At 36.8% G+C, this 18606-nt stretch overlaps 1 protein-coding gene across 5 annotated transcripts in view; it reads right to left on the bottom strand.

Moving 5' to 3' along the window:
- The window catches only part of PDCD6IP (programmed cell death 6 interacting protein), a 71074-nt gene that overhangs the window by 27475 nt on the left and 24993 nt on the right, over positions 1 to 18606 (bottom strand). For 3 of the 5 annotated variants that reach the window (NM_001162429.3, XM_011533252.2, XM_047447042.1), the window contains 6 exons: positions 16889 to 17042; positions 15649 to 15749; positions 13260 to 13391; positions 5963 to 6185; positions 3902 to 4025; positions 155 to 332 (listed from right to left, as the gene is read on the bottom strand). In NM_001162429.3, the coding sequence (NP_001155901.1) occupies positions 155 to 332; positions 3902 to 4025; positions 5963 to 6185; positions 13260 to 13391; positions 15649 to 15749; positions 16889 to 17042 (912 nt within the window). Of the gene's footprint in view, positions 1 to 154; positions 333 to 3901; positions 4026 to 5962; positions 6186 to 13259; positions 13392 to 14958; positions 15750 to 16888; positions 17043 to 18606 lie in introns of those variants that run through there. The other 2 variants (NM_013374.6, NM_001256192.2) reach the window with 2 other exon arrangements.

Raw genomic sequence — 18606 nt, 5'->3', positions numbered from 1 at the left:
TGCTAAAGAGAAGGCTCTGGGCCACAGTAAATTCACCAAAGTGATGAATACTAACTACACTGTACTAGCATGAGGAAGTCTCCAGTCCCAATCCCTGCTGGACATCAAGGGATCACAGTGTTTATACTTGAAAAGCAAATCTTATAAAACATACCTCATCTAGGATTTCTCTATTTCGTTGCAGTAATTCAGGCAGTTCTTTAATCAACTGATCAACAGTCTGGATGCCTCCCTGTTCAATCACAGATCTGGATTTAGTCAATATAGACTGAGGTACAGTGTCTCCAGACACATCTTCAATTGCTGCTGGAAGATTAAGGGAAGCTAGCACCCTGAAAAAATGAGATACTATGTTATACTGAAGTCTAAAACAATTTAACTCCTCATCAATACTTACTTTATTTAATTTAGTATTCTATAACCAAATCAACAGCAATGGAGTTAGCACCCAGAAAAACTGGATAAGCCCTATCAATTAAAAGCAAAGCAAAGGCCGGGCGCGGTGGCTCACGCGTGTAATCCCAGCACTTTGGGAGGCCGAGGCGGGAGGATCACGAGGTCAGGAGATCGAGACCATCCTGGCTAACATGGTGAAACCCCGTCTCTACTAAAAATACAAAAAATTAGCCGGGCGTGGTGGCGGGCGCCTGTAGTCCCAGCTACTCAGGAGGCTGAGGCAGGAGAATGGCGTGAACCCGGGAGGCGGAGCTTGCAGTGAGCCGAGATCGCGCCACCGCACTCCAGCCTGGGCAACACAGCGAAACTCCGTCTCAAAAAAAAAAAAAAAAAAAAAAAGCAAAGCAAAGATTAACAGAAAAACAAAAAAAATCAGTGATTGATAAAATTAAACCAAAATCATTAAAAAATGAAGCCCACAATTCAGAATTAAAAGCCAAAAAATAGGCTGGTGCAGTGGCTCACACCTGTAATCCCAGCACTTTGGGAGGCCCAGACGGGTGGATCACCTGAGGTCAGGAATTCGAGACCAGCCTGGCCAACATGGTGAAACCCCATCTCTACTAAAAGTACAAAAATTAGTCAGGCGTAGTGGTGAGCACCTATAATCCCAGCTACTTGGGAGGCTGAGGCACAAGAATCACCTGAAGCCGGGAGGCGAAGGTTGCAGTGAGCCAAGATCTCACCACTGCATTCCAGCCTGGGCGACAGAGTGAGACTCCGTCTCGGGGGAAAAAAAAAAAAAAGTCAAAAAATAAGAAAAACTATGACCGCATTAAAATATATTAGGTATCGTCGGCTTACAGTTCAAACTTCTTTCAGTCTAAGTAATTAAAAGTCAAAAATTCTATCCTAAAAAAGCAGTCTTTTATACTTTTGATTGTTACAGCATCTCTAACAAGTCAGAAACAATACACAAAATAGTTATTTTTTTCTTTTTTGCTCTCTTTCAACAGAATCAATAGTTATAATTTCACATCATCTAGGCAAAATGTCAACAGAAAATAGATGATCTAAGTATTCATTACAGAATCTTCATCTGTTCTCAGTTTTGTAGCACAATAACAATTCCTCAGTTATTTCAGTTACATGATGGCGAAGGGAGGTACATATCCCTATCTACTATGTAACGACAAAAAGGCAAATGAAATGATGTAATACAATGAACTCCTCAGAAAATAAGCTCTGTAAAATCTCAGACTGCCTGTTTATCATATGCTAGAGTAAACTTACATTCCTTTCTTGTTAGAGAAAAATGATGGTAAAATCCATGCATTAATCAAAACTAAAAACATGAAAAGGCAAGCCAACTACAAGAGAAATACAGTTGGCCCTTGAACAACACAGATTTGAACTACATGAGTCCGTGTACCTGTGGACTTTCACCTCTTTCACCTCTGCCACCTGTAAGACAGCAAGACCAACCCTCCTTCCGCCTCTTCCTCAGCCTACTCAAACTTGAAATAGACAAGGATGAAGACCTTTATGATGATCCATTTCCATTTAATCATAGTAAATATATTTTCTCTTCCTTATGATTTTCTTAATAGTATTTTTTCTCTAGCTTATTTATTATAAGAATATACTATATAATACATATACAAAGTATGTGTTAATTGACTGTTTATCGGTAAGGCTTCTGGTCAACAGCAGGCTATTAGTAGTTAAGTTTTGGGGACTCAGAAGTTATATGCAGATTTGACTGTGCAGGGGGGTCAGCATCCATAACCCCATGTTGTTCAGGGTCACCTATATTCTCAATTATATGTATCTGACAAAGGACTTGCCTCCAAAATATGTAAAGAAGTCTTTAACTATTAAGAAAAACTCACTTTTAAAAACTGAGAAAAAGATTTCAATAGACACTTTACAGAAAATATATGAATGGCTAGTAAGCACATGAAAAGCTGCTCAGTATCATTAGCAATTAGGAGAATGCAAACTAAATCACAGTGAGATTCTGCTACACACACACTAAAGTAGCTAAAACTAAAAAGACTGACATACCAAGTATTGGTGAGGATGCAGAACAATTGTATTTTCAAACAGTGCAGATAGGATATAAAATGGAACAACCACTTTGGAAAACAACCTGGCAATTTTGTATAAAATTAAATATGCTAACCACACAACCTAACAATTTGTCTCCTAAGTATTTACCCAAGAGAACTAAAATATGTCCACACGAAGATTTATACATGAATGTTCACAGAAACTGAAATGCCCATTAACAGGTGAAAGAGTTAACAAACTGCTCTATAACCATAAAATGGAATACTGCCGTATAACCATAAAATGGAATACTGCCCTATAACCATAAAATGGAATACTGCTCAGCCATAGAAAAGACTGAAACTGATACACATAATATAGATGAATCTCAAAAACAGTAGCTAAGTGAAAAAAAGCAAAACACATTCTAAGTATATACTGTACATACTGTAAGTACTGTATATGCATATGCTAGAATGATTACACGTGTTTTAAATTGTATAAAAAGTAAAACTAAACTTAAGACAGGGAGCAGATCAATAGCGGCCAGGGGCTAAAAGAAGAAGGACTGGGAAAGGGGCATGAGAGAATTTTTTTAGGGTAACAGTAATGTTCTCTAACTTAATCATAGTGCCGGTTACATGGGTACATACATTTATCAAAACTAACTAAATGACCAAGCATGGTGGCTCATGCCCGTAATCCCAGCACTTTGGGAGGTCAAGGCAGGAGGATCGCTTGAGCCCAGGAGTTCAAGACCAGCCTGGGCAACAAAGTGAGATCTTGTCTCTATAAAAATATCAAAAAATTAGCCAGGTGTGGTGGCTTGCACCTGTGGCCTCAGCTACACAGGAGGCTGAGGCAGGAGGATCACCTGAGCCCAGAAGGTTGAGACTGCAGTGAGCCATGTTTAGTGTTTACACCACTGCACTCCAGCCTGGTGACAATAAGACCCTGTCCCAAAAAACAAAAAATATATATATATACATAAATATATATATATACACATACACACACACACACACATATACATATAATAATTGAACTGTGCACTTAGAATAGGTGTATTTTGTGTGTGTAAAATATACCTAAAAATTTTTTAAACCAATGAATTATTTTCTTAGTATTCAGTCCATCAGAAACAAAAATTGGTTCAGAACACTAAATGTACCATGTATCTGAGTTCATTTCTACTTCTCATTTCCAAATAAATACCTCTTAAAATACAAATTTTTAGTCCTCATATCCTCACCTTGTTTCTATAATTTCTTCCAACTATATTTGCTAGAGCTTCATAAATACAGTGTCCAACAAAAATAGTTGTAAGTGTGTGTCTACATTTTCTATTTTATATACTCTTGACATTTAGCTCTAAGCTCAGAAACTAAAATGTTCATAAACTAAAGAACAACCAAACGGAAAACTTTAGGCTCTAAAATTAAGCTCTACCTACCCATTTGCCAAAGTGGTGGCTTCTCTCATCTGAGCAATTGATCTGTTAACCAAATCGGCTTTCCTCTGATTATAGGCAGCCAAAGACTGCTGTACTGACACGGGAACCATCTTCTCAAACAGATCTAAAATTAGGAAGAGAAATTACAACAAAATTTTTAGACAAAAACCCGAACTGTAAAAGTGACTGTTTATATTTTCTTTCCAATATTCACATAGTCTATAAATATTTATTGTCTATTGACATTTAAAGATCAAAACTAAATCACTATTTAAAGCACAATGATAAAGAGAATTTTTAGATCACTACATTCATGGACAACGGCAACAATGAAAAGTTTCTTCTTTGAACTTAATTTTCTTTCTTTTTCAGATGTGTTCATCACTGAGTTTGAGGGATCTTCAGTGACACTGTTCATCTGTTGATTAAACTGAATGAGGGGCCGGGAGCAGTGGCTAAGGCCTGTAATCCCAGCACTTTGGGAGGCCGAGGCAGGTGGCTCACCTGAGGTCAGGAGTTCAAGACCAGTCTGGCCAACTTGGCAAAACCCCATCTCTACTAAAAATACAAAAATTAGCCAGTGTAATGGTAGGAGCCTGTAGTCCCAGCTACTGGGGAGGCTGAGGCAGGAGAATCGTCTGAACCCAGGAGGCGGAGGTTGCAGTGAGCCGAGATTGCACCACTGCACCACAGCCTGGGCAACAGAGCAAGACTCGGTCTCAAAAAAAAAAAAAAAATTGACTGAGTGGGTCACGGCAGCAGGATTCCATTTCTGGCTCCAACACTTCCTAGCTATGTGACCTTGAGGAAATTACTTAACCACTCTGTGCATCAGTATCCTCATCAAATAGGGATAATAACAGTACCCATCTCAGGGCACTTCTGAAAACAAATGAGCTAATATTTGTAAAGTGCTTAAAGAGTGCCTGGCACATGGTAAACACTTTGTGTTTGCTAAATAAACATATAATCACCCTTTCCCAGTAACAGAATATTCTCCTTGGAATCTCAGCTAGAGGCTACCATCTGTTGTATACATCTACAATATAATAACATGTATTTATCTCATACAAATACCACTCCAGAAGTTTACATGTTTAAAGAAATAGGCCGGGCACGGTGGCTCATGCCTGTAATCCAAGCACTTTGGGAGGCTGAGGCAGGTGGATCACCTGAAGTCGGGAGTTCCAGGCCAGCCTGACCAACACGGAGAAACCCCGTCTCTACTAAAAATACAAAACTAGCTGGGCGAGGTGGCAGGCGCCTGTAGTCCCAGCTACTTGGGAGGCTGAGGCAGGAGAATCACTTGAACCCAGGAGGCAGAGGTTGCAGTGAGGGAGACAGCACCATTGCACTCCAGCCTGGGCAACAAGAGCGATACTCCGTCTCAAAAAAAAAAGAAAAGAAAAAAATATATATTTTTGTGGTTTATTTTTATATTTATTTTATTTATTTATTTATTTATTTTTGAGAAAAGATCTCTCTCTGTCACCCAGGCTGGAGTATGGTGGCACGGTCTCAGCTCACTGCAACCTCCACCTCCTGGGCTCAAGCGAGCCTCCCACCTCAGCCTCCAGAGTAGCTAAAGCCACAGGCATGCACCACCATGCCCAGTTAATTTTTTTTTTTTTTTTTGGTAGAGACAGGGTTTTGCCAGTTGCTCAGGCTGGTCTCTAACTCCTGAGCTCAAGCAATCTACCCATCTCAGCCTCCCAAAGTGCTAGGATTACAGGTGTGAGCCACCACATCCAGCCATATTTGTTTATTTTTAATGGCAGCATCTTAAATAACAAAAGTTAACAAAATGACAAGTGCTACAGTCTTAATCAAACACACAGTTTCAAGTCTTCTAACTATTGTATACTTTACATATGCTTTATTATTGTTTACTTTCCATCTTAACATTGCACTGGCACAATATTTATTCTCATATTCATTTTAAACAACATGAATACAAATTATATTCAAAGCATACAACAGCAATTATGTGATTTTTAGCTAGGAAAAACAGAGTAAACTAGAGAAAAATGAGATTAAAGTGTGTCTGAATAACTGACATACCAGTAAATTTCTGACTGATGGGTACATTGACCGGGGTAGATTTCACAAGTGTGGCTTTGCCAATAGGATCTAGATCTTTAAGGTCTGGAACTCGATCATGATAAATGAAGTCATTATCCTTCTTTGCTGCAGCAAGGGCACGATTGATTTTGTCAGAAAAATCCTTCACATTAACATATTCATCATAGCGAGATGCCACTGTTTTAATCAGTTCTGCTGCATGCTAAAAAGAAAAACGTCAACAACAAAAAAAAAAAAGAGGGAGGTGATTTTATTTCTCTTTCCCCACCAAGTATTTAAGCATTGGTTTCAAAAAAAAAATCTTTAATCTGAAGACTTGCATTTCCAGCAATGTGGCTGACAGGGTTACCTGGAAATTCTCCGATCACAAAATACCCGAAAACTGAAGGATAATACATAACAGCTATCTCTATAAACACACAGGCAGATTATCAAGATAATAAAAGAAATCCATGAGCCCATCAGTATAAACTGACATTGAAGAAAGCTGGCTGTTGGGTTCTTTCTTTTTTTCCTTCTTTTTTTTTAGACAGAGTCTCACTCTGTGACGCCCAGGCTGGAGCACAGTGGCGCGATCTCGGCTCACTGTGACCTCCACCTCCCAGGTTCAAGCAATTCTCCCACTTCAGCCTTCCAAGAAGCTGGAATTACAAGCGTGCACCCCCACACCAAGCTAATTTTTGTATGTTTTGGTAGACATCGGGTTTCATCATATTGGCCAGGCCAGTCTCCAACTCCTGATCTTAAGTGATCTGCCCAACTCAGCTTCCCAAAGTGCTGGGATTACAGGCTTGCGCCACTGTGCCCTGTCTGGCTGTTGGGTTATTTCTACATCCAAAGAATTAGCAATTAAAACTTATTAAAGGCCCTCATGGAGAACTGAAACAAGGGTCTGGAAACCACACAACACAGAGAATTGAGATGCACCTCTTTCACTCCTTCACATGAAGGCAGGAACCTCAAACGGCCTAACTCTCAGTGAAAGGGTGGATCTGAAAAAAATTATCCAACAACACAGGAAGTGAACAACATGTCAACATCAATAAGAATTTTTTTTTAAGTTTGGCCTTATAAAAAAATGAACATAAGCCGCATACAAATTTAGGTGGTATTAGATATAGTGACACCATATAAAATAAAAAGCATTATTAGGGATAAATATAATACATAATCTTTTAATATTTGCCAATTTGCCAGAAAGATGTAAAATTTCTTATATTTTGCATGTAATAGTATCTATATAAACAATTATAATGAGAAATTGACACATTTACCCATAATCAAAGTGGAAGATTTTAACATATCTGTCTCAGCAATGGCTGGACCAGATTAAAAAAAAGTGTAAGATTATAGAAGATTTGAGCAACACAATTAACGAGTTTGGTTTACCAGACATAGAGAACACTAGACTCCACAAATAGAGAACACATTATATTCTCAGGCATATAGAAAGCATCTACATCTATAAAATGACCAGATGAAGAGATAAGGCAAGTCTAAAACACCAAAATAACAAGAATACAAAAATGGTTTAATACTAGAAAATCTACTTATATAATTCTCCAAAATAATAAGTTAAAAAATCAAATTTCTCCATAGATGTTGAAAAAGTATTTGATAAAATTCAATATTCTTGATTTTTTAAAATCTTCGTAAAATAGAAATTATAGTTCCTTAACATGATAAAAATCTTAACCTCCAAAGCTGGTATCATGCTTAGAGAAAGATAACCAAAACAAAACAAAAGCTACCCTTCAGTGTAAACTAGGAAACGGGAAATTGCACAAATTTAAATCACTTTTTAAATTTGTAAATCAAATTTGATTTGTAAATGTGGTTGAACCCTCCCCCAAATAGCAAACACTAGTACCAGAACCGTAGGTACGCTATACACAGAGGGGGAAGAAAGGGAAGTGCTAAGGGTGCCACCCTAAGTTAAAATTACTTTAAGCAAATCTGAAAACAACAAAACAGGATGAGAAAACCTTGCCAGGTGACGGTAAAGGCAAAGCCAACTGGCCCCTATCATGCCACCAGGGGACCACAGAAAAAAATGTGATGCTGAGGGGCCTCATCCCAAGAGAGCTGGTGAGAAAAAGAAGTAGACAGATTAACTAAAAAGACAGGGTTGCTAGGGGGAGCAGAAAGAGAGAACAGAAAAGTAGGGAGGGAGAAGAAAGGGCATAAGCACTCAGAAAATGCCAGCAAAATATAAACCCTAAAAGTAGATGCATCAACTTGAAATGCAAAGGCTGTGAGGAATTCAGGGAAGCACAGGTACAGAGGTAGTGGGATTCTTCCTAATCCAGGGTAGGCTTTAAGAGCCAGAGAAGTGGACCTTAGGAGGGAGCCCTTAACACAATGATGCTTGTAAAGCTAACCCCTGCCCATTTCCCTGCACAGGAACCCCCAGCAAAATCAATCTCATTCAAACCTAAGTAACTGAAAAGTCAACTCATCTCTCAATACAAAAAAACCATAAGGAAAAAACTGAAAACAAGCAGTATATCTTTCCAGTAGATAATGAAAGCTCACCAAAGAAATATTGCCGCAAAGCAGATGAAAACAGCATGCTAAAAACTAAACTAAACTAAAACACTTAAGAACACAATGACAGTACCAAAAGAACAGAGGACTGGATGGCCCAAACCAGAGTGAGTGATAGCCAAATAGCAAAAGAATATGAAACAGGAAGTGACAGAACTCACAAAAGTAAAGAAAAATACAAATTTATTTAAGAAAGCAAGACTGAGACATTTATACAAGGAGCAAAAGGGAAAACAGACATCACAGAAATCATAGTAAAAAACATACAGAACAAGAAAAAGTGAAGAAAACAACACAGAAGTTGGGAAGGAGGAGGCTGTTACAAATTAAAGATTTAGAGGGCATATCAATCAAATGCAAAGTGAGGACTTTGTGTGGATCCTGATTTGAACAAACCAAGACCCCTGAGAAAAAAATCAGGGAAAACTAAACTAGATGTGGATAATACTGGATTATGACTATTAACTACTAATTAATATTAATATTAATTTTGCTAGATTGGGATAATGACCCATCTAGCAAAATTTCTTAATTTTTTAAATTTTTGTTTTTTAATTTTTTTAAATCTTTATCTCTTAGAGACACAGGCTAAAAAACTTAAGAATGAAATGATACGTGAGATAGTTGTAAAATACTCCAAAAAAATGAGGAAAGGAGAAATAACTAAAACACAAAATAGCGAAATACTGATAATCACTTAAGTTGGGTAACAGAAGTTCAATGATTCATACTTTTATATATGTTTGACCATCATAGTTACACAACTACACTTTTATATATGTTTTCCATCATAGTTAAACAAAAGAAAATTCATATGAAGAAACACATGCAAGAATAGTCAGGAAAACCCAGAAAATGACAAAATTTAGGAAACAAGCAAGGACAGGCAGAAAAATTCAAAAAATGAGAGATAATACCTATCAGACATTAAAACAGTCTCAAGTATAAATAACTAAAATGATATGGAACTGGAGTATGAACAGATAAACAAGTCAATGAAACAATAAAAGCAGAAATAGATCCCAATATATACCGTGAATCTAATGTGTGATAAAGTCAGAATGTCAGATCAGTGAGGTAAACAAGGCTATTATAAAATAAATGGTTTGGGGACAATGGGCTAGCCATTTGGAAGAAGACTTTAAAAACTGGATCCATATCTAGCACCACACATCAGGATAAATTCCAAGTGGATCAACAATCCAAATATGTAACAAATTACAGACATATTTATATTTTGCTATTGGCAATCCCATTTCTATTAATTTATTTAAGATATACCTGCTGCTATGTACGGGACTGTGCTCCCCAAATTTCGTATTTTGAATCCCTAACTCCTAATGTGATGGTATTTGAACATGGGACCTTTGGAAAATAATGGGGTTTAGATGAGGTCATGAAGGTGGGGCCTCATAGGGGATTAGTTCCCGTACAAGAAGAGACACCAGAGGGCTTCCTCCTGCTGTTCACCATATGAGGACACAGAGAGAAGGCCATCTGTAAATCTCACCAGAATATGACCATACTGGCACCCTGACCTTGGATTTCCAGGCTCCAGAACTATCAGAAAATAAATTTCTGTTGTTTAAACCACCCAGTTTATGGTGTTCTTATGGCAGCCTAAGCTAAGACACCTGCTGAAGTACAAGATAACTTGTGTACGTGATTTTTTACTGTAGCATTGTTTATAACAGTGAAATCTTGGAAACATTCAAGTATCCAGCAACAGGAGACAGCAATAAACTGTGGCTTACACAGTGAAGTACAATGCAGCTCTAAGGATGGTCTCCCTGTTGCTGAATTAAGATGAAGAGATCTTCAGGATACATTGTTATATGAGAAAAGAAGGTACACAACACTGTATATATTAATAGCATACTACCACTTCAGTAAGAATGACAAGTGAGAATGTGCAATGTGTGTGTGTGTGTGTGCTGTCTATGTATATATTTGCTTCTATTTCAAAGAAAGAAAAAAAACAAGAAATTAATGGAAATTAACTATGGGGCAGTAGGAATAATGGATGGAGGGAACAGGATAGAGGGAAAAAGAGGAACAGGAATTGAACTATATAACCTTATATATACCTATTTTCCCAATTTTGAAAAATTTCAAGCCCACAAAATAATTAGCTAGGTTCAACAATTACCATTTTGCCACATTTGCTTTATCTATTCCTTTCCCATACAAACACATAATTAAGTACTATTTTTTCTTTTATTGCAGAACTACATGAAACTGAAGTTAGATGTTATAAGCCCTCATCCCTAAACACATCAGCAAGTATTCTATAATGACAATCTCCTTAATACCTACAACCTAGTACCATAACTAAGAAAACAATACTTGCACAAAATCAGATTTACAATCTTGCTAGGTCCCTCATTAATGAGTCAAATAAATCTTTGACATGTAGTCATTCTATGTGAGTCATGTTTTTATATCTGTGTGTGTGTGTGTGTGTGTTTCTGTATCTTTTTGAAAACTGTATTTCATCATCTTTGAAGATCCACCAAGATGACCAAGAAGATCCATCTTCTGGGGCCACATAAACTGCACTGTTCAAGAAGTGCAACTCATGAGCTGTATTAAGCTCAGGTACAATTTTTCTTGGCCCCAGAAGTGATTGATTCCAAGCAGTTATTTTACCTTTGCTGCCATTTTATCTATTGTTTTGATTTTCCTGATTGTGATTTTATTTTCATTTCTGGTTTGCACAGGACCAATAAGTTATTTCTCTTTGCTAGTAGCCATAACTAGAAAGTTGGTTTAATAGTGTGACCTCCTAAGATCTCCGTCAGAATCATGGGGTATTATTCTCTACTAAGTGAGAAACTACAGCGAATATGGTTTATTGGTCAACTTCTTGTCTGTTCTGTTTGTCTTCTTGGGAGTGCAAATCAATTAAAAAATATTTCATGCCTACCGGAAAGAATAACTGTCCTCTGAAATATGGATCAGTGAGTGTGTTCTGTGTTAACTTTTTTTTGAGAAGGGGTGTCACTATATTGTCCAGGCTGGCCTCAAACTACTAGCTTCAAACGATCCTCCCACCTCAACCTCCCAAGTAGCTGGACTACAGGCAGGTGCCATCACACCCAACTTCTGTCTTAACTTTAACCTATAACTAAAGCTGTAAAACTAAAGCTGCAAAATCTATGTGTCTATAACTGAGGAAAAGTATTTACCTCCCTCCCATTGTGTGAATCTGAAATAGTTTCCTTTTTCAGGGGTACTTAAAAATGAGATTAAATTTCAAAAGGAGTTCTTTCTCTGACTGATTTATAGAGACTAAATATGGGCTTACTTAAATCTAATAGTCCCAGAAACCAGAAAATAAAGAAACTAAACTTACAATTTAAATATGCTAGCCTTAAAAAAAGAATCCTTCCCACAAATTCCTTGTTCAGAATCATTTTTATATATAAATCTAAGTTACTGTAATCAAAGTGAAGCCCCAGACACATCTGGGTCTGACTTTTTTAAAAAGACTTTCTCTGATTTGGTCACTGTGAGATCCTTTCCCATGAAAAGGCTAATTAATTAATCTGAACCTCCTAAACAACATTTCCATTGTTATGGTCTGAATGTGTCCCCCAAAGTTCATGTGTTCCCAATCCCAAAGTGTTGGGACGTGGGGGCATAATAAGAGGTGATTAGGTCAAGAGGGCTCTGCCCTCATGAATAGATTAATGTCATTATCATGGGAGAGGGTTAGTTACCAAGAGAGGGGCTTCATTGAGCAGTTTGGCTCCCTCTTGCTCTCTCTCACTCACTAGCACTCTCTTGCCTTTCTACCTTTCACCACAGGTAACACAACACAAAGGCCCTCACCAGATGCCAGCACCTTGATATTCGACTTCTCAGCCTTCAGAATTGTGACAAATTTCTGTTCTTTATCAATTACCCAGTCTGTGGTATTCTGCTATAACAGCACAAAATGAACCAAGACATCCATAGTATCTTCTAAAAATCAGTACATATTTAAACTTCCCTAACTCAAATGCCATAAGTCATCTTTCTATCCTCTGTCTACCAATACTCAAAACACAAACAACTCATACAAACAGCTCTTGCTCCTGCTGGCAAGTTGCCTCAGGTGCCATAATGTCACAGCAAGTTTCTGACAACCCCAATGCCAACAGTATGAACACAACTGCATAGAAGGTACTCTGCTGTTCACAAGAGATATATGTGTGTATATATATATATATGCACACACATCTCTCCACTGTCGTCCTCAAGTTGTGGAAGTATATGCCCCAGTTTAGACAAAGACCAGGCCACAAGTTAAACACTACACATACTCCTGGAGCATGGCAATTAATTTAGAATTATTTTTACACTAAAATAAACATGACCAAAAAAGAGAACTGAATGCAAATTCTGCATGAATTTTTCAGATAAAATATGAGACCTCAAAAAACCATGCAGTAAAGTCTAAAGACAAAAACAATCTGGAGATGGCAATTAATTTAGAATTATTTTTACATTAAAATAAACATGGATAAAAAAGAGAATTGAATGCAAATTTTGCATCTATTTTTTAGATAAAATATGAGACCTCAAAAAAACATGCAGTAAAGTCTAAAGATAAAAACAATCACTTGTCCCTGCTGATAGGGGTGATGAACGGGAAAGGTTTTTATGGGCAAACTTGGAAATCTCACTAGGAAAAAAAAGAGAGATCCAAGTTAGTTACTTAAATATTTATTACCAAGAGACTCACCTGTAACCTTGCAATTTCTTCTCCAAATTTCTTCTGCTGTTTTGCCAGGATAGACTGATGGTACTCAGCATTGGCCTGCATGATACAGTGCTTTGCAGCCAAGACAGGGAACACCTCCTGGAAATAAAAATACTGACCAGGGGAGAGTCCAACCACACAAACCACCACAGACAACATGGGATGCAGGAAGAAAAAGGAAAAGAAGACAGAAATTAGAATCACCCCATTAATGGTTTAGAGATTAAGGTTAGTCATTAGGTGTAAACAGAGAAGACGACATGATTTTGTGTGGATTGAAATCTATGAATTAAATTTTTTTTCTTCCAATTGAAGGGGTTTTTTTTAACTGTTAACTGAAGCCAATTTAGGTTTTTACAATTCTCTTTAATTGATCCATGAAGTCAACATTTTGTTTACAAAAAGAAAAGCATGCATTATTAGAAAGAGAAGTAGAATGGACATTCACAGAGGAACACAAAGCACAGAGCTTTAGAAGCTTTCTTATGAGCCCTTACCCAGCCTGTAGAGTTAACTAAACCATCATTACTCACATATACTAATGAAATTGCTCTATAGATTACTGTTTCATCATGTTTTAAAAAAAAGACAGTAAATTTTCACTTAAATTCATATCCTAAGAGAGTTCTTACTGAAGATGATTTTAGCCATATAAAAATGATTTAGTATCATAGATACACTAATATTTCAGTGTCATATACTCAAAAACATATCATAGACAAATGCACTAAGTATATGACCAATGATAATGATAAAGTGTTATTTTGCCTATTTGTTTTGAAAATAATTCCAGTCAAAATTAATTTCAAAAGATCCAAAGACATAAAGCAGGAAAGCAATTATACTAGTGGTGGCTCTTCCAAAACGTCAAAATCTAACCTGTAACCTCACTGCTTTTAGGAAGTATATGATATTAAAAAAATCCAAGGAATTAGGCTAGACAATCACTATCTAAACAAAAAATGTAAGAGAATCAAAAACTGAATTACTACCTTGTGTGCTTTCCTGTCTCCCAGGGAATAATTTCCTACCTTCCTGGATCACTACTTGCAGACTTTTCAGTTTTATAACTAGAATATGAAAATACCTTATGAGCTTTATTAGTAAAAAGGAAAAAATAAAAGACATCTAAATTTCAAACTACACTCATGCCAGTTCTCAAGGTAAGGCTGGAGCAACTTGGTTCTGAAACAGGAGATTTTCAAGGAATACCAGGAATGCTGCAGAGGTAGCTTCCAAGTCTTTGTAGGTGACTTTCTTCTCTCCATGACAGGACTGAACTAATGGCCCAACAGGATGTAACGGAACACTGTGCAGCTGAACATGAGGTCTTTCAGATGAAAAAAACATGAGAGGAGATCCCAAGTCTCTTTTTAAGAGGAAGGCTGTTAATACCCAAGAATCCTGGGCAAATTTCTACTAGGCTCTTGGTGTATCTTAAATCCCCAGGAATCGTCACATTAATTCCTTATTGATCATTTTCTGAGTAATAAGTACTGTTAATGCACTTATGTGCATTTTTACTTCACCCCCAAGTTGTCTGCAATTTTTTAATGTACAAAGATTCCTGAATATGACTTACAAATCAATAAATTCCCCTACCAAAAAAAATCATGTAACAGATACCATATGATGAAACTAATTCCTTGAACATTTCTGAAGGAAGTAGTTGAAACATATATTTCACTCAATCTTTAAGTTTTCTTTATTAATCATTCCAAATTTACTAGTGATTTGCTTTGTCATTAACAAATGATCATCACTGAATAGTCTTTACAATTGTCACTTCAGAAAGGTTTACATTAAAACATTATACTTCCTGTGATATGTGGTTTAAGATGGTTGCTTTCCTTAGCTGTCCATTAGCAGCCCAATTTTTTATCCCTGTTGGCAAAACTGAATTCTAATCAAAGTATCAGATGAATTTGTTAAGTTTTCTTTTCCTTTTTTCTTTATGTCTGTTTTTGCGCTTTAAGGCTCATCTTTAAGAAAACAGGACAATAATTAAAAGTGTGAATCATCAACATGCTCAAGTATACATGCTTGTACCAAATCACCAATGATTCAGAACTACACAATGCCTTGATTTGATAAAAGTATTGAAAACAGATGGTCAACATTTTCCAGAAAGAGTTCTAGCTTGGAAAAACAAGTTTAGTAAAAGGTAAAGACAAAGGCATCCCCTAAACATAAAAGAATTGTTCATGCATCTTAAATTAAAAAAAAAAAAAAACTATTTCTACTATATACTTCAGATAACTCTATTAAAACTTCAAATTTCTTTATAAGTTTCAACTTGCTTCTTATACACAAAAAAGTCTAAATATTTCACATGCAAAGTAAGCAAGTGTTTATAAAAACAATAACTGACCTTGGGGAGAGTATCTTTGTATTGACACTGTTTGAAAGCATCACCAAAATAATCTGCAGCCTGATTAGCCAATTTAGCTATGATGGCATCTTTCATTTTATCTGGAATACAATATGACCATTATAATTAAAATAAATATGAGCTAATCTGACATGTCTCAGTATAAACACTGAGGTCACAAGTTTGTACACGCATCTGAAAACATCTTTCTTGATGAAATCACATTTTCTGCACAAAATTTAGAACAGACAAAATAGATTAGTGGTTGCCAGCAGTGGGGGAAAGGGGAGTGAGGAGTGACTGCTAATGGGTACATGGCTTCTTTCTGGGATGATGGTAATGTTCTAAAATAAGATAGTGGTAATCAAAACTCTATGAATATACTAAAAATCTTATGTTGTATACTTAGAAAGGGTGAACTTGAGTGTATATAAATTCTATCTCAATATAAGCTGTTATTTTAAAAGAAAAAAGTATTCCAATTCCTATTTCTTCCACATGATGACTTATCTCTTATTTTCAGTTTCAGCCCATATTACATATTCAGCCCATTTTCAATCTCTCATGCTAACTTATATGCCTTATAAGAATTATTCTTATTCCCTCATTCCCAGGGCTAGGGACTGTGCCTGGATGACTCCTTCTTGTCATTTAGGTCTACTTTAAAGAGGACCTCCTGAAAGAAAGCCTTCTTGACTAATGAATCTAAAATTAGCCCAGCTTCCCCTATATCCCTATCCCATAACCATACCACCAGCCACTATCATATAATTCTCTTATTTTTTATAGCAATTATTTCTGAAATCTTATAGCAATTATTTATGAAATTATCCTGTCTACTTAATTCTTGCTTATCATCTCTCCCGTCGCCAAAACCTAAGTTGTTTTCTAACTCCGTTTATCTAGAAACTAGAACAGTGACTGGCACAGAGTAAGTATCCAATAAATATTTGCGAATAAATGTCTGACATGTTAAAAACATACATAAATACTATTCCAGAATGGAGTGTTTAAAGACAATTACTAAAGATCTATTTCATGACTTCAAACACAGCCTACATTCTTAAATGTAAATTTGTGCCACAAATTCAGAAAAGGATAGCTGAAAATTTTCCATAATTCATGTATCAAGTTCAAGAAGGACAGCTCGACATTGAACATATTATATTCTAATCACTTTCTTAATTTAAAAGCCTTATCACTTTTTTTCACATGCAACAAAAAGATAAATTGGAGTTACCTCTTGTGGCTTTTAAAAAAAATACTTCTTGAGCCTGTGCCAGCATAATAAGACTGAGGGTCCCAACAGTATCTGGAGATATGTCCACGGTCGGCTCTCGACTTAAGGCAGATAAAACCGTCTCTTTAATATGTAAAAAGGCACCACTAGCAAACTAAAGGGGGGAAAAAGAATTTCTTTATAGGAACTCAGCAAGACTTAATTTCCTACTGTTACATATAAAAGTCATTTCAAATGTTAACTCAGTGAACAGTTAATATATTTAAATTTTTATATTATGCAAAACCAATCTAAAACATCTGACCTACAGACAATAAGGTTATCTTTCTAAAACTCTATAGCGTAACAAGAGATTTAACAAAGATTAAAAGTAAATTACAAGGAAAAACAAAGTAAACTAATGGAACAATCTGATTAAACTATTTTTAGATATACTTCCTCAAAATTAACATGAGAATAGAGGCGGGGATAAACATTAAAATATTTTTAGTACTGCAATGCTCTTGCTTTGGTCCCAAACAAATTCATCTTTCAAATAATTAAACATGCCGTAGTTAGGGGACACCCCAGGTAGTACATACACCTAGTCCTCTGAGGAACAGCATTACTACCCATTGCCAGTGATTTCTGTCTGGCCTTCAGAGCTCACTAGTGAAATGTTCCCCATCAGATTTTTCATCTCAATTATATTTTGTTAATACTAAAATAACTTTGCTTTCATGAAACAAATTATACTAAGAAAAAGAAATAAATCAGTCTGGGATTAAAAGGTGTCATGAGTTGGCCGGGTGCGGTGGCTCACGCCTGTTAATCCCGGCACTTTGGGAGGCTGAGGTGGGCAGATTACCTGAGGTCAGGAGTTCAAGACCAGCCTGGCCAACATGATGAAACCCCGTCTCTACTAAAAATACAAAAATTAGCTGGGCATGATGGCACACACTTGTAATCCCAGCTGCTCGGGAGGCTGAGGCAGGAGAATCACTTGAACCCAGGAGGCGGAGGTTGCAGTGAGCCAAGATCACGCCATTGTACTCCTGCCTGGGCAACAGAGCGAGACTCCATCTCAAAAAAGAAAAAAAAAAAAAGGTGTCATGAGTTAGATAAATAGACAACACAGAGAAAACTCAAAGTCAAATGTATTAAAATGAACAGCATGTTTCTGCAGTCAGTAAGTATTATAACACTAGAGTATCTGCTAGGAATGAACAACTGAACTTGTTCAGTAAACTAGTGAATCAAAGTCTACAACAGCAAAGTGTCTGAGTCTCTCATTTACAGATAAGGAACTGGAGGTACTAGAGAGGTTAAAGAACTTGCCCAACGGCACAAAGCTTCTGGGTGGCAAGCAGCCTAGACAAGGACCTAGGTCTAATACCACCAGTTATCTTTCCATGATACCAGGTGCCCTGCTGTGAACCCTCACAGAATGGAATGTTTCTTTCATAATTCAGAATGACCTTTCTAAAATCTCATATACTAACTAACTGAGTTACAGTTAACCAAAAGCTAAATAAAATTTTACTTCGTTTTCACTACTGTATTTTATTTTATTTATTTTGAGACAGAGTCTTGCTCTTGTCGCCCAGACTAGAGTGCAATGGCACAACCTCAGCTCTCTGCAACCTCCGCCTCCTCGGTTCAAGAGATTCTCCTGCCTCAGCCTCCCGAGTAGCTCAGACTACAGGCGCCCACCATCACACCCAGCTAATTTTTCTATT

This window comes from Homo sapiens, chromosome 3, assembly GCF_000001405.40.
Source record: "Homo sapiens chromosome 3, GRCh38.p14 Primary Assembly".
In the NCBI taxonomy this organism is placed as follows: Eukaryota; Metazoa; Chordata; class Mammalia; order Primates; family Hominidae; genus Homo; species Homo sapiens.
The sequence above is the reverse complement of the archived record's forward strand: the minus strand, read 5'-3'. Positions and strand labels throughout refer to the sequence as shown.